This window comes from Homo sapiens, chromosome 7 (assembly GCF_000001405.40).
Source record: "Homo sapiens chromosome 7, GRCh38.p14 Primary Assembly".
NCBI classification, from domain to species: Eukaryota; Metazoa; Chordata; class Mammalia; order Primates; family Hominidae; genus Homo; species Homo sapiens.
In genome coordinates this window covers 74,898,837-74,915,403 of record NC_000007.14, presented here as the reverse complement: position 1 = coordinate 74,915,403, position 16,567 = coordinate 74,898,837, and the positions used below count along the sequence as shown (strand labels likewise).

Below are 16,567 nucleotides of genomic sequence, written 5' to 3'. Positions count from 1 at the left end.
GAGCCACCGCACCTGGTTTGCCCATTTTCTGACAATGTATCAACATCATCTAAGATGGGCACTGCCTCAGTGTAGTGTGTCTAGACAAGGTGGCCGGAACAGAGAGGAATATGCATACCAGGCTTAAAGACGGGTTAAATCAGAGCTTTTCATTCCACAAAAGAGCAATTTTAATGAGGTCAGAACATGGATGTTCTAATAGTTGAAAGCCTGTTAACTAGGAGAGAGAGAGAGTAAAGTGATTTGTTGTAGGAGGACACACCCAGCTCTGACGGTTTAAAGCGTCATGAATGCAAATTTGAACTCCAGAAAAGCAGAGCTTCCTAACAATGGGACTTCCACAGCAATGGGATTTCCTTCCGCATTCAGTTTATGCCTTTCCCATGAGCGAGAGACTCCTAGGAGAGCCGCAGCCCGTTAGGAAGCCATGTGGGAACTCATCCACAGGTTCTTTTTGTTTTTTTTTTGTTTTTTTTTTTTGAGATGTAGTTTTGCTCTTGTTGCCCAGGCTGGAGTGCAATGGTGCGACCTTGGCTCACTGCAACCTCCGCCTCCCAAGTTTAAGCCATTCTGCTGTCCCCGCCTCCTGAGTGGCTGGGATTACAGGCACCCACCACCATGCCTGACTAATTTTTTGTATTTTTAGAAGAGATGGGGTTTCACCATGTTGGCCAGGCTGCTCTTAAACTCCTGACCTCAAGCGATCCACCTGCTATGGCCTCCCAAAGCGCTGGGATTACAGGCGTGAGCCACTGTGCCTGGCCAGAACCCACAGGTTCTTTGGATGGTCTCTGAATGTCATGAAACTCTTTTATATTTAATTAAAAAAATTTTTTTGACACAAGGTCTTGCTGTGTTGCCCAGACTGGAGTGCGGTGTCACGATCACAGCTCACTGCAGCCCCTAACTCCTAGGCTCAAGCAATCCTCCTGCCACCTCAGTCTCTCAAGTTGTTGGAACACAGGTGCCAGCCACGACACCTGGCTAATTTTGTTTTGTTTTGTTTTGTTTTGTTTTAGAGATGGGCTCTTGCTATGTTGCCTATACTGGTCTTGAACTGCTGGCCTCAGGCAGTCTTCCTCCCTTGGCCACCCAAAGAGATGGGATTACAAGCATGAGCCACTGTGCACAGCTGAGATTTTTCGACTTAGTCTTTTTGTACACCCAGTATCTTATAGAATATCCGTAATATAGATTCATAAATAAACCATTTCCTTCAATGGTATAAATAAATAAACCACTGCTATAAATGGTGGAATTTTCTGAGTTAAGAGCAATACATATGATACAAAACTTGATATATAGAGTTTCTTAGCCAAACTGGAGGGGCTGGCTTTAGGTGATCCGTGGACTCCCTGAAATTGGGGACACCATTGGAAATATGTGTGAACTCATGGGCAGTTTCCTATGATTTCCAGTCCTCAAAGTATCTCTTGGACTCAAAGATGCCTTAGGGCAGAGGACGCGTGTACCCCCAGTACAGAATCTCGGACAGTGAATGTCAGTAGACATTCGGCAGAAAACCTCTGCCAAATTGAGTGCTCTGATGTGACTTTTTCATCAAGTCAATGTTCCTGGGATCTCTTGTACATGATAATCTCACTCTTGTAAGGTTTCATCGTTTCTGCTTACCCTACTTTTCTTTCCCATCCTGATCCCTCTCCCACCAGACTGGACTCTGAAACGGGCATGTACAGAGAAGAGGAGACCCCAACACGCTTCAAGCTTTGAGTGGAGAGGACACAGCCTCTGCTGGGACAGGGAACAGAGGGATGCGGAGACCCTGAAGATGCTTTTGGACAGTGGTCTGAGGTTGGGACAGTGGCAGGAGATACCATTCACCCAGGATCTCCAGGACAAGAGATCAGCCTGGCAGTTACATGTGTTTTTTTTCAAACTGGTTGCCAGGTTGGCATGAGCGATGACATCAGAGATTCCGACCTTCCTGATTGGAGGGACCGGACTCTGTCGGCACCTGGGAGTTCAGTTGGACAACAGTAACTTCTCAGAGCTGTTCTCCACTCCTGACTTCTCCCAGCCTCGAGAATTGATAACACACTCTTCTGGATCCCAGCAGTGTCCAGAAGAAGACCAAGGACAGAACAGAGACTAGGTTTGGTGAGATGGGACAGATTTTGGGAAAGATCATGATGAGCCATCAACCGCAGCCCCAGGAAGAGCAGAGCCCCCAGCGGAGCACCTCAGGGTACCCCCTCCAGGAGGTGGTGGATGATGAAGTGTCGGGACCATCAGGTGAGGGGACTGGAGGAAGAAGAGGTGGCATAGGATTGACTAAGATGAAGGAAGGGGGCCAGGCGTGGTGGCTCACCCCTGTAACCCCAACACTTTGGGAGGCTGAGGCGGGCAGATCACCTGAGGTCAGGAGTTCAAGACCAGCCTGGCCAACATGGTGAAACCCCATCTCTACTAAAAGTACAAAAATTAGCCAGGCGGTAGTGGTGTGTGCCTATAATCCCAGCTACTTGGGAGGCTAAGACAGGAGAATCACTTGAGCCTGGGAGGAAGAGGTTGCAGTGAGCCGAGATCGTGCTACTGCACTCCAGTCTGGGTGACAGCGTGAGATGCTATCTCAAAAAAAAAAAAAAAAAAAAAAAAAAAAAAAAAAAAAAAAAGAAGAAAAAAAAGAAGGGTCAGAGGTCAGGAAGGAGAACCTGGGGAGGGTGTGTGGGAAGAATGGAGAAATTCAGGCTGGGTGCAGTGGCTCACACTTGTAATCCCAGCACTTTGGGAAGCCAAGGCAGGCGGATCACTTGAGGCCAGGAGTTTGAGACCAGCCTGGCCAACATGGTGAAACCCTGTCTCTATTAAAAGTACAAAATGGAGCTGGGCATTATGGCAGGCACCTGTAATCCCAGCTACCTGAGAGGCTGAGGCAGGAGAATAACTGGAATCCGGGAGATGCATGTTGCAGTGAGCTGAGATTGCACCACTACACTCCAGCCTGGGTGACAAAGCAAGATTCTGTCTCGAAACAAAAAAAAAAAAAAAGAGGGACTCAGAGAGCCAGGGACCAGGGAAGGATATGAGGCAGTGTTCTGAGGACAGAGAGAGGGAAGAATGGGGAGGGGAAGGAGTGGCACATGGGGTTGAGCAGAGGAGAAAGTCAGAAAGGTGGCTTGGAGAAGCCAGCAGTCTGCGAGGCTGGGGAGGATGGAGAGTGGTTTGGGGTTTGGGGTCGGGGTCTAACGTGATCAGTTGCAGAAGCATTACACGGTGGCCTGGTTTCTTTACTCAGCCCCTGGGGTAGATCCCAGCCCCCCACGTAGGTCCCTTGGCTGGAAAAGGAAGAGGGAATGTTTGGATGAATCTGATGATGAGCCAGAGAAGGAGCTCGCCCCTGAGCCTGAGGAGACCTGGGTGGCGGAGACGCTGTGTGGCCTCAAGATGAAGGCGAAGCGACGGCGAGTGTCGCTCGTGCTCCCTGAGTACTACGAGGCCTTCAACAGGCTGCTTGGTAGGAGGACACCCCAGAGAGCACCTCCAATCCTGTTCTTTCTAAAGAGGAAACTTCCAATAACCACACTTTTCCAATGGGAAAAATATGCCCCAGTGGGTGAGCTCTCCATGCGGGAGGACTCTGAAGTGATCACTCATGAGGGACACTTAAGGAGACAACAGAGGATTAGGTAGACTTGATAAAGGTCGGTGCTTGGGATAAGAAAGCTTGGTTTTGGGCCAGGCGCTGTGGCTCCCGCCTGAGATCCCAGCACGTTGGGAGGCTGAGGCAAGAGGATTGCTTGAACTCAGGACTTTGAGGCTGCAGTGAGCTATGACTGCACCACTGCACTCCAGCCTGGGTGACAGAGCAAAACTCTGCGTCAAAAGAAAAACCAAGGCTGGGCACAGTAGCTCATCCCTGTAGTTCCAGCTACTCGGGAGGCTGAGACAGGAGAACTGCTTAAACCCAGGAGGCAGAGGTTGCAGTGAGCCAAGATCAGGCCAATGCATTCCAGCCTGGCCCACAGAGCAAGACTCTGTCTCAAAATAAATTAATAAATAAATAAAAATAAAAATCAAATAAAGAAAAACAAAATCAAAAATCAAAAAAGTGGTTTCAGCTGTGCCCTCTGAAACTTAATGTTTCTTACTGACTTTTCTAAACCTAAGTGTCTCCATCCATAGTGAGGGATCCCAAGGCCATGGTCACACCCTGATGTGTGACTGTCTCATGAGGAAATGATGGGAATTCCTTTATGACTCTGCAGTGGTCCCTCCGTGTCTGCTGGAGGGGGTCCTGGCTGATTCCCAGCTCTACATCCTGTAGATTCTCACACCCAGGGCCTCCTTCGGCCTCTTCTCAGGGGAGTCTCAGAGCAGGAGCCTCTCTCCCTTGCCCAGTGAAAGTCATTCTCCCCTCTCCCATCCACCTCACCCGCAGCCACAATCCTGAGACTTTCCCCCGGGAGGCACACTTCTCCTCACTGCCCTGCTGCTCTCACGGAAACCCTGTCCTGCTTCTCACACTGACATCTGCTCTCTAATCACAGAGGATCCTGTCATTAAAAGACTCCTGGCCTGGGACAAAGATCTGAGGGTGTCGGACAAGGTAAGGTTGTTCTCTATGTAACTGTGTTCCTGTTCTAACGCACGGCCAGGGGGAGGGCGCAGCTTCCAAACCCACAGTTCTCCCTCCACCACCTCCCACCAGATGCTCCTACAGTTTTTTTTTGTTTTTGTTTTTGTTTTTGTTTTGTGAGACACAGTCTTGCTCTGTTGCCCAGGCTGAAGGGCAGTGTCTCGATCTTGACTCACTGCAGCTGATGCCTCCTGGGTTCAAGCGATTCTCCCACCTCAGCCTCCAAGCAGCTGGGATTACAAACATGAACCACCACGCCTGGCTAATTTTTGTGTTTTTAGTAGAGACGGGGTTTTGCCATGTTGGCCAGATTGGTCCCGAACACCTGACCTCAGGTGATCCACCCGCCTTGGCCTCCCAAAGTGCTGAGATTACAGACGTCAGCACTGTGTCTGACCAGCTCCCATGGTCTTGAGTCTTGGCACCCACACATTTTTTTTTCTGAGACAAGAGTCCAGCTCTGCTCCCCAGGATGGAGTACAGTGGCATGATCATAGCTCACTCTAATTCCTGGGCTCAAGCAATCCTCTTTCCTTAGCCTCCTGAGGAGCTGGGACTAGGCACATGCTACCATGCTCAACTAATTTTTGAAACCTTCGTAGAAACAGGGTCTCGCTGTGTTGCCCAGGTTGTTCTCCAACTGTTGGGCTCACATGATCCTCCTGTCTCCACCTCTCAAAAAGTACTGGGATCACAGGCTTGAGCTGCCACTCCCGGCTATTCTTTGTCTTTTTATGATTTGTCAGCATCTCCGTCAGGATTCTGCTGGTCTCTTGCAGAGTGAATGAGTGGCCCCTGCCTCCCCTATGAGTCCTTTGGGATCTGAGCCCTGGGCCACAGTCTGGCTGCAGCCCTGAAGCTCCTGGGCCCTCTACTCTCAGCTCCTTGGGACAGTTCTCTGCCTGGCACACAAAAGACCCTCCTGACACCAGCCGACCTAGACACACCCCCTCCAAAGATCCCATCGGAGCCCACCATCCTGGGAGCATCACCGAAAACCCTTCCTCCGGCTTCTCGGATTTGCATCCGACCTTCGAATACCCCTCCACCCCGCAATTTCCACATGAGCACAGTCACCCCAATGCTGAGGTCCCTTCTCTGATGGGCAGCCCCTCCCCAGACCCCCATTCCACTATCTCCACAATCTTCCTCTCCCAAGATGTGACCTCTCCCTCTCTGTGTTCCTTTCTCTCCATCAGTATCTCCTGGCTATGGTCATAGCGTATTTCAGCCGGGCCGGCCTCCCCTCCTGGCAATACCAACGCATTCATTTCTTCCTGGCTCTGTGAGTGGTTTGCTGCCTCCTATCCATCAATATCCAATGCCCTGGGACAGCGGGGGAAGTGGGATTCCAGCCTTTCATTTATTCTTTCACCTATTTGTCCTCTTTACTCTGTGTACAAAAAAGACAGGATTATAGTATCTTAGACTGTTATTTCTAAAAAGAAACTCAGGCTGTGCATGGTGGCTCAGGCCTGTAATCCCAGCACTTTGGGAGGCTGAGGCAAGCGGATCACCTGAGGTCAGGAGTTTGAGACCAGCCTGGCCAACATGGCAAAACCCCGTCTCTACTAAAAATAGAAAAATCAGTCGGGCATGTTGGTGTGCACCTGTAATCCAAGCTACTTGGGAGGCTGAGGCAAGAGAACCCCTTGAACCCAGGAGGTGGAGGTTGCAGTATGCTAAGGTTGAGCCACTGCACTCCAGCCTGGGCAACAGAGTGAGACTTTTTCTCAAAAAAAAAAAAAAAAAAGCCAAAAAAAAAAAAAAAAACCAGGCAAAAAAACCAAACTCCAATGCCAGTGTACAAATACAAGAGTAAAACAGGCCAGGTGCGGTGGCTCACGCCTGTAATCTCAACAGTTTGGGAGGCCGAGGTGGGCGGATCACAAGGTCAGGAGAGCAAGACCATCCTGGCTAACATGGTGAAACCCTGTCTCCACTTAAAAAAAAAAAAATACAAAAATTAGCCGGGTGTGGTGGCGGGCGCCTGTAGTCCCAGCTACTCTGAGGACTGAGGGAGGAGAATGGCGTGAACCTGGGAGGCGGAGCTTGCAGTGAGCCGAGATCGCACCACTGCACTCCAGCCTGGGCGACAGAATGAGACTCCGTCTCAAAAAAAAAAAAAAAAAAAAAAAAAAAAAAGAACAAAAAACAAAAGGAACCATGAACCGCTCCTAAGGGGAGAAGAAAAGGAGCGGAGGAGCGGACATGACACTTCCCCCAGCAAGCAGACGTTTCCGGTTCTTCTCTCTCTCTCCTTCCCACATCAACCGCAAAAGCCATCAGCCTCCTCCGGGTTCCCATGACAGAGGCCACAGTTCAGGTCCCCCTTGCATCACTCGAATCCACTGTCAAATGCTCCCTGCTGGGGTTTCCTGGAGTCTCTCCCCAAGCCAGGGGGCTTCCTAGTGCAGCCTGAACATCTTTCCAAAGCACGACAACCTCACTGCCCACCTGAACAACTTCCTTAGCTGATGTCTTTCTCTATCGAGGCCAGGGTCCACAGTGCCAATTCCACCCTCTCTACAATCTCTACAACCACACTGGCTCGCCATCTTGGTGTTTCCTGGCTTGGCTTCACTGCTCCTTCCAAATGCCCTCCACTTGACTTTGCATTTGTGTTTTCTGTCTGGGTGTCCCGCACACATGTGGTTCTGAAGGGAAGGACCCATTCCTTGAAGTCGGTTCACCCCACAGCCTCTGTGATGCCTTCCCTCATCTTCCAACTTCTGCATGCCCGTAGCTCTCCAGTTACATCCTATTATAACGTGACATTGGGATTAGGTCATCTCCCCTGATTACTCCCAGTCCCATTAGACTAGATGCCTGTAGAAGGCAGGGTCCTGGCAAAATATCAGTGTATTCAATTGCTTTTTTTTTTTTTGAGACAGACTTGCCCTGTCCCCTAAGCTGGAGTGCAGTGGTGAGATCATAGCTCACCGCAGCCTCCATATCCTGGGCTCAAGCGATCCTCCCACCTCAGCCTCTTGATTAGCTCCGACTACAGGGCTGTACCACCACACCTGGACAGTTATTTATTTATTTATTTATTTATTTATTTATTTATTTATCAAGACAAGAGTGTTGCTGTGTCTCTCAGGCTGGAATGGAGGGGCCCAATCTTGGCTCACTGCAACCTCCGCCTCCTGGGTTCACACAATTCTTATGCTTCAGCCTCTTGAGTAGCTAGGACTAATGGGTGTGCCACCGCACCAGGCTGATTTTTGTATTTTTAGTATAGATGGGGTTTCTCTGTGTTGACCAGGCTGGTCTCAAACTCCTGGTCTCAAGCAATCCACCTGCTTCAGCCTTCCAAAGCGCTGGGATTACAGGCATGAGCCACCGCGTCTGGTGTATTTTTTATATTTTTAATAGAGACGAGGGTCTTGCTATGTTGCCCAGGCCTGTCTCAAACTCCTGGCCTCAAGTGATCCTCCTGCTTCGGCCTCCCAGTGTGCTGGGATTCCAGGCATAAGCCACCACTCTTGGTCACCAGTTGGGTTTTTGTCTCCATCCTGAAGGAGTGGGAGACGCCCTTGATCAGGTCTCTGTCCAGCAGAGCCCTCCTGAGGAAGGCATGGCTCTCTGCAGGGTGGGTGCCAGTCCTGAGCTAGGGACGGTCCCTTACCTTCCTCTCTGAGAAGCTGACCTCAGCCGGAGGTCTCTCCTGGTGGTGCCCCTGAGCAGCAACCTGATTTCTGTCCTCAGCTATCTGGCCAATGACATGGAGGAGGACGATGAGGCCCCCAAACAAAACATCTTCTACTTCCTGTACGAGGAGACCCGCTCTCATATACCCTTGCTCCGTGAGCTTTGGTTCCAGTTATGCCGTTACATGAACCCGAGGGCCAGGAAGAACTGCTCTCAGATAGCCTTGTTCCGGAAGTATCGGTTCCACTTCTTTTGTTCCATGCGCTGCAGGGCTTGGGTTTCCCTGGAGGAGTTGGAAGAGGTGGGTGGGGCCTGGGGACGTGGAGGATGTGGGGAGGAATCGGGTGGGCTGGAGGCTGGACGAGGGGAGAGAGGGGTATCCTGGGGAGTCCCCGTCTTCTCAAAGCGCGTTTGTTTTTCCAGATCCAGGCTTATGACCCAGAGCACTGGGTGTGGGCGCGAGATCGCGCCCACCTTTCCTAGAGCTCCAGGGACCGTGGAGGCCTGAGGTCATCGGCCTGAGAGAAGGTACATCTGCATCCTCCGGGGTAAAGGCAGAATATTGGGGTCTATTTCGGAAATCCAAGGAACCCAATTGCTTGATCTGGCTTCAAGCCTGGGCAACGTGGCGAGATCCCCTCTCCACAAAAATACAAAAATTAGCCAGGCGATGTGGGAGGCATCTCTACTCCCAACTACTCAGGAGGCTGAGGCGGGAGGATCGCTGGAGCCTGGGAGGTCGGGGCTGCAGGGAGCCCTGATCCTGCCACTGCACTCCAGCCCAGGCGACAGAGTGAGACCCTGCCTCAAAAATAATCATAAATACTGAGTTCGGGGAGGTTCATTATGATTGATGCACTTGAGTTACCGATCTGGGTCGAGGGTTCAGTGAAGCTTTGGTTTACATCTTGTGCAGCTAACCATGTTGAGCACAGAGCATGAGACTTTGTCATGAGGAGGGAGGATTATGGATTAGGCTTCTGGACTCGTGGTTCGTGATGTTGTCACATTAGAAACAGATCTAGCACGGTTACAAGTTTAGATCTGAAGTGACACAAAAGGCCCCAGCTGTGATGAAGTCCAAAGCCACATTCTCTGAGGGTGCCCTACTCCCTGGGAAGACCCACCCAAAGTCCTTGCTATGAAGCAGATCACTGGGGCTGACCTTGGGTGTATTAAGTTTTGGAGTCAGGGTCACCAAAGTGTGAGTTTCACAGTTGAACACGATGGTTCAGAAGCAGGGTATAGAATGAAAGGCAGGAGATAAAATTGCACTTCTCAATTGCTCTGAACTCTAGCTAGACTTGACATGGGACGTGAATAACCTTCCTGTCTAGAGAGCTGCCTCCTTGAAGTGTGACATTGTCTCTCTCACTTCCAGAACACCGGACCCAGGGGAGATGTGGATTTTCAGCAGGAACTTTATTCCAATGCTAATGGCAGACATCAGGAAGGAGGAGAGGAACCATTTGTGCAGATCATCTAGAAGAACCTGGACCATTCTTGACAGAGCTGAATACAGTGATCACGTTGTCCTCCAAGGAGCAGGGGTGGGGTGGGGTACTTCTAGGAGTCCTTGGAGAAAAGTAAGAAACCAGGAGTGTTTCCAGTTCCACCCTTTCCTGCGGCACCACCTCCCTTTTTATATTGCTGAATGCCAACCTCCCTGGGGCGGAACCTGGAGGTCCTATTTCTTATGGACTTGGTTGCCACAGTCCAGGAGCATTTGAAGGCACAGTGCAGGGGCTCAGATTGGCACAGAATTCTTTGTGAAATATGAGTGCCACAGACTGTAACAGATAGCTTCATGCACACTATGCATTTTATTGGTTTGTTTGGAAAATGTTGGCCATTGAATTATTAATAGGTTTATTTCAAATAGTTTGGAAATTGTTGTACTTTTGAAAACATGCTGTTCCTGTAGAGTTTTTTGATGAGAGTTATAGTTGTTATATATACCTAAAGATAATTTTCTTTTCATTTTTAAGTGAGAATTCTTTTTATCCTAAATCTTTTATTATCTTTAAATTTTTTTCTGTATTATTATATGTGCTCCTGAAGCGAGCACTCTTTTTATCTATGATACTTCCATAATAATCTCTTCTATTTATAGCTATTGGTAGTTCCCCACCAGAAAAAAACATAATTCTGGTGATAGAAATTTTTATTTGCTGTTTAGGTTTGTGACTGAATTGTGAGAATTCAGTTGTGATTTTTAACATGTCTCAGATATATATACTAACACGTCTAATATATACTATCTATTTTATTGGTTTATTTTGAAAAACATGGGTATAGAATTATTTAAATATTATTTTATTTATTGAAATATTTATTAAATATGTTTATTTATTTAAATATTATTATTACTTTAAATATTATTTTAAATATTTTGGAAATACTGGTATTTTTGAATAGATGCTGTTTCTACAAAGCTGTGTGATGGGTGTTATAACTGTTGTATACACATACATATAATTTTGTTTTCCTTTTTAAGAGAGGATTCTTTTCATCCTAAATCTTTTACCTTTCAATCTTTGTATCTATTATTACACGTGCTGCTGAAGGGGAGCATGGTTTTTATCTATGATACTTAGTTAACATATATATTACATTTATAGCTATGTGGTAGTTCCCCTAAATTCTTGTAAAAATAAATTTTTATTTGATATTTAGTGTATGTTTGAAATGTGAGAATTCAGATGGAATTTTTTATCTTGTTTTGGCATGTTTGTATGTTACTTTAAAGAGGATGTGTGTTCTAAAGGAGGACATGAGCTGTGTGTTTTCAAGAGAACAGTGCAGTGCATCTCTTGGGGAAACATAATAAAGATGAACTTTTCTCACCTTCACAGTGAGTGTGATCATATTGTGGTCTGGATTGATTATTTGCTGTCAAGTGACATTTTTCCTTAATGGGGTTGTGCTTATTTGAACATATTTATTAGCTTTGGAAGATAATCCTGTGCTGTTTTTTATGTAGAAAAAAACATACGGCTGGGTGCAGTGCTCACACCTACAATCCCAGCAGTTTTGGAGGTCATGGCGGGAGGATCACTTGAAGCCTATTTTTAATTTTTATTTTTTAAAGAAAAACAACAGAAGAGAAGGCTGATCCCAAGCTACAGGGTTTTTTTGTTTGTTTGTTTGTTTTGGAGACAGTCTCGCTCTGTCTCCCAGGCTGGAGTGCAGTGGCACAACCTCGGCTCCCTGCAACTTTCACCTCCGCGTTCAAGCAAATTCTCCTGCCTCAGCCTCCCAAGTAGCTGGGACTACAGGCATCCGCCTGTACGTCTGACTAACTTTTGTAAAAATAGTAGAGACAAGGTTTCACCATGTTGGCCAGGCTGGTCTCAAACTCCTGACCTCAAGTGATCCACCCGCCTCAGTCTCCCAAAGTGCTGGGATTATAGGCATGAGCTACTGTGCCCAGACCCCAAGCTAGAGTTTTAAAGCAGGAAATGAGAGAAAGATATTGAGAGAGGAAAACCAGGTGGTAAGAAAACTCTAAAGGTGGCTGGGCGTGGTGGCTCACGCCTGTGATCCCAGCAGGAGTTCGAGACCAGGCAGGAGAATCACTAGCAGAGAATATGTCTCCCCAACCCCTCTCAAAAAAAAAAAAAAAAAAAAAAAGTCCAGGCGCGGTGGCTCAGGACTGTAATCCCAGCACTTTGGGAGGCTGAGGTGGGCGGATCATGAGGTCAGGAGATCAAGACCATCCTGGCTAATACGGTGAAACCCCATCTCTGCTAAAAATACAAAAAATTAGCTGGGCGCGGTGGCAGGCGCCTGTAGTCCCAGCTACTCCGGAGGCTGAGGCAGGAGAATGGTGTGAACCCAGGAGGCGGAGCCTGCAGTGAGCAGAGATCGCGCCACTGCACTCCAGCCTGGGTGAAAGCGCGAGACTCCATCACAAAAAAAAAAAAAAAAAAAGAAAGAAAAAAAGAAAGTTCCTGCAACAGTTCAAGCTGTGAAAGACAGGCACTCTGCCATGCAATTCTTTGTGATTTTTCTTTTTTATTTTTGGAGTCGGGGTCTTGTGCTGTCACCCAGACTGGGGTGCAGTGGTGCGGTCATAGCTCACTGTGGGCTCAGACTCAAGCTCAAGCAATCTTCTTATCTTGCCTTTCTAATTGCTGGGATTATAAGCATGAGCCACTGCACCTGGCCTGTGTGACGTAATTCTGATGTCAACTCCCTGATGTTACATCAAATGCCACAGGTTAAGGCCACCAGCCCCCGCTAGGCTGCCCTCGCTTCAGATGCAGCTGCAAGCTTGGGTGTCCACAGACCGCATGTACTTCTCACCAACTGGCTGCAAATTTGGAGGTTCCCACCACGTCCTCAGGTTTGATAATTCACCATAACAACCCACAGAACTCTGAAAAGCATGATACTTTCTCTTTCTTTATTTGAGACAGAGTCTTGCTCTGTCACCCAGGCTGGAGTGCAGTGGCCACCATGCTTGGCTAATTTTAGTATTTGTATTAGAGACAGGGTTTCGCCATGTGGGCCAGGCTGGTCTTGAACTCCTGACCTCAGGTGATCCACCCACCTTGGCCTCCCAAAGTGCTGGGATTACAGGCATAGCCACTGTGCCTGGCTGACTTCTAGAGTTTCAATAACAGAGATGTGGTTCAAGAAGAAAAGGGAGACATGTTTTGTAGACAGCAGGAGCTTCATGAAAAGAAGCCAATGAAGGGCAGGATGTGTAGCTGTCTACCTACAGGAAACCAGCCAGGAGCCTCCCCACAGGGACTTCAGCACAGATGGCCGGGAAAATCTGCATTCACCTGAGCTCTGGACCTAAGAGAGGACAAGGCCTTGACTGTTTCTACAGACTCACAAGATGCAATCTCTGCGGTCCATGCCCGTGGTGTGATCTGGGAAACAGGGGGCCTTCTAAATGCCAACAACAAGGAAATCAAATGTGCAACAGACAGAAATATCGGCATTGACACGGGCCATGGAGAGGCCTAAACAGATGACTGCAGTCCACTGCCAAGGTCATCAAAGGGGTGACTCTGAAATAAGAAATTTCAGACGCCACGGCCCAAATAGCTGCACGAGGTGGGGAAGTCCTCCACATGCCTCTGCTTCCTTCAGTACCTCTTCATGAAATAAGCCGAGGTACTTCCCTGGGGAATTTCCTTTCTCTTTCTTTCTTTCGAGACGGAGTCTTGCTCTGTCGCCCAGGCTAGAGTGCAGTGGCGCGATCTCGGCTCACTGCAACCTCTCCCTCCCGGGTTTTGGCAATTCTTCTGTCTCAGACTTCTGAGTAGCTGAGATTACAGGTGTGTGCCACCATGCCCAGCTAATATTTGTATTTTTACTCGAGACAGGGTTTCACCATCTAGGCCAGGCTGGTCTTGAACTCCTGACCTCATGATCCACCCATCTTGGCCTCCCAAAGTCCTGGGATTACAGGCACGAGCCACCACACCCAGACTTCTTGTTTTATTTTTTGAGATGAAGTTTCGCTCTTGTTGCCCAGGCTGGAGTGCAATGGCGAGATCTCAGCTCACTGCCACCTCCTCCTCCTCCCAGGTTCAAGTGATTATCCTGCCTCAGCCTCCCGAGTAGCTGGGATTACAGGCACCCAACACCAAACCCCGCTGACTTTTTGTATTTTTAGTAGAGATGGAATGTCACCATGTTGGCCAGGATGGTCTTGAACCCCTGACCTCTAATGATCTACCCGAATTGGTCTCCCAAAATGCTGGGATTACAGGCGTGAGCCACTGTGCCCAGCCCCTCCCATACCTCTTTTGGCCAAGGCAGTACAATTCAGAGAATCTTGCCAGGGAAGACTGGTAAATGGACATCAACATGATGCCTATGGCTCCTGGTGGATTTAGATACCTCCTGGTGCTTACTGATACCTTTACCAGTTACATGGGGGCTTTTCCATGCCAGACTGAAAATGCTGGAGATCACTGATCAACCTTCAACTATTTACTAGCAGAACACTGAGGGGACTCTGCAGTCACCAATATCTCCTATTGCACTTGGATAAACACCTCCCGGGAAATAGAGATGAATAGAAAGGAAATACTTAAACAAGCAGAATGGCTACATTCCTTCAACCAGAAGGGTCCATTAGTCTGTTTTCACACTGCTATAAAGAACTACTGGAAACTGGGGAATTTATGAAGAAAAGAGGTTTAATTGACTCACAGTTTTGCAGGCTGTACAGGAAGCATGGCTGGGGAGCCCTCAAGAAACTGACAATCACGGCAGAAGGCGAAGGGGAAGCAGGCACGTTTCTGGCCATGGTGGAGCAGGAGAGACAGAGAGAGTGAAGCAGGAGGTGCTGCATGCTTCTAAACAACCAGATCCCATGAGCGCTCACTCACTATCACGAGACCAGCAAGGGGGACGTCAGCCGCCATGAGCCAATCATCTCCCACCAGGTCCCTCCCTCAACACTGGGAATTGCAATTGGACATGAGATTTGGTTGGGGATACAGAGCTGAACCATATCAAGGGTAGTTCAACCACTGAGATTGATTGATTGACTGAGATGGGGTCCTGCTCTGTTACCTAGGCTGGAGTGCAGTGGCACAATCTCGGCTCACTGCAACCTCCGCCTCCCAGGTTCAAGCAATTCTCCTGCCTCAGCCTCCCTAGTAGCTGGGACTACAGCACACGCCACCACACCTGGCTAATTTTTGTATTTTCAGTAGAGACGGGGTTTCACCATGTTTGCCCGGCTGGTCTTGAACTCCTGACCTCGTGATCACCCTGCCTCGGCTCTTCTTTTGCTGGAATTACAGGCGTGAGCCACCGCACCCGGACAACCACTGAGATTTAGAAGGCAGTCGAGTCCACTATACCACACCTCACCTGGTTTCTTCCTCTGTTGGGGCCCCTCGTGGCCACTGTTCTGTTACTTTTTGGTCCTATTTATTTAAATGGATGGTGAGCTGTTTGTCCTCCAGGATCCAACACTTCCACCTTCAGCTTGTATTACAACAATACCAGCCTTTCAAGCTACTCCGGGTGACCCCAGAACTCATCTGAACTCAGAAGCCCAAGAGTTTCATTCCTCTCACTTTAGGGGACTAAGTGCCCCTGGTCAGCATGAAGTCGATACAGAAGCATGACCTCCATCCCTAATCCCTCAAGAATGAGGAGTGGAAGGTGTTGGCAGGAGGGTGGGACGCGGTTTGTAAATCTGTAACTGCATCAGACCAAATCTAGTTCAACTTTTTTTTTTTTTGATGGAGTTTCACTCTTGTCACCCAGGCTGGAGTGCAATGGCACGATCTCAGCTCACTGCAACCTCCACGTCCTAGGTTCAAGCATTCTGCTGCCTCAGCCTCTGGGGTAGCTGGGATTACAAGGGTGCGCCACCACGCCTGGCTAATATTTATATTTTTAGTAGAGACGGGGTTTCACCATTTTGGCCAGGCTGGTCTTGAACTCCTCGACCTCAGGTGATCCACCTGCCTTGGCCTCCCAAAGTGCTGGGATTACAGGCGTGAGTCACCGCACCCGAATCAGTTCAACTTTTATGTAATGAAGTTGTCAGTTGTTTTCCAATTGCCATCGACCTGCAGGTTGAAGGTCATGTACCCTGTGCATGCCCAGGTTAACCACGCGTGCCACCGTGGAGTGGAACCTAAGAGCTCAGCCTGAAGAGCTCGGACCGATTTAAGAACCAGACACCCCCAGGCAGGAGCCAGGATCCAATCAGATTGAGTTTTGGTGTCACCCCATGGCAGGATCCAGTCAGATCACACCTCCCAGCATTACTTTATTGCAAGATCCAATCAAATCACACCTCATTACCCTATGCTTATAAAACCTGACACAGCCCCCAGCTGTGTAAGGGAGATTTGAGTACTTCCTCCTGTGTTCTTGCTGGCTGACTTACAAAAAAGCTTTAAAAAAAAAAGCCAGGCGTGGTGGCTCACGCCTGTAATCCCAGCACTTTGGGAGGCTGAGGTGGGCAGATCACTTGAGGTCAGGGGTGCAAGACCAGCCTGGCCAACATGGTGAAACCCCATCTCTACTAAAAATACAAAAATTAGCTGGGTGTGGTGACACACACCTATAATCCCAGCTACTTGGGAGGCTGAGGTAGGAGAATCACTTGAACCCAGGAGGCGGAGGTTGCAGTGAGCCAAGATCACACCACTGCACTCCAGCCTGGGCGACAGAGTGAGAAGACTCCGTCTAAAAAAAAAAGTTAAAATTAGCACCAAACGCTTTACAAGTAAAAAAAGTTTTTAGCTGCATATGTTTAAGTAACTTTTTAGATTATAAGAAATACGCATGCAAAATGGAAAGGCACAAAGAAGAGAGCAAAAA

General features: G+C 48.5%; 1 protein-coding gene and 1 pseudogene across 5 annotated transcripts in view; one reads left to right on the top strand and one right to left on the bottom strand.

Moving 5' to 3' along the window:
- The window catches only part of PMS2P5 (PMS1 homolog 2, mismatch repair system component pseudogene 5), a 30,371-nt pseudogene that overhangs the window by 5,735 nt on the left and 8,069 nt on the right, over positions 1-16,567 (bottom strand). For 2 of the 3 annotated variants that reach the window (NR_027775.2, NR_027776.2), the window contains 2 exons: positions 14,429-14,517; positions 9,179-9,826 (listed from right to left, as the gene is read on the bottom strand). The exons of the other annotated variant lie outside the window; for it this stretch is intronic. The product of NR_027775.2 is annotated as a PMS1 homolog 2, mismatch repair system component pseudogene 5, transcript variant 1 (transcript). Of the gene's footprint in view, positions 1-9,178; positions 9,827-14,428; positions 14,518-16,567 lie in introns of those variants that run through there. 3 annotated transcript variants of the gene reach the window in all.
- Positions 326-11,115, top strand: SPDYE12 (speedy/RINGO cell cycle regulator family member E12). Of its 2 annotated transcripts, NM_001382555.2 has the most exons (8): positions 326-447; positions 1,671-2,253; positions 3,257-3,475; positions 4,509-4,567; positions 5,797-5,882; positions 8,309-8,552; positions 8,675-8,779; positions 9,633-11,115. In NM_001382555.2, the coding sequence occupies exons 2-7, from the start codon at positions 2,124-2,126 to the stop codon at positions 8,732-8,734; spliced, it is 798 nt and encodes a 265-aa protein (NP_001369484.1). In that variant the 5' UTR covers positions 326-447; positions 1,671-2,123; the 3' UTR covers positions 8,735-8,779; positions 9,633-11,115. The 2 variants fall into 2 exon arrangements, with proteins under 2 accessions (NP_001369484.1, XP_047275634.1); XM_047419678.1 differs by lacking the exon at positions 326-447 and having other exon boundaries at positions 8,675-11,103.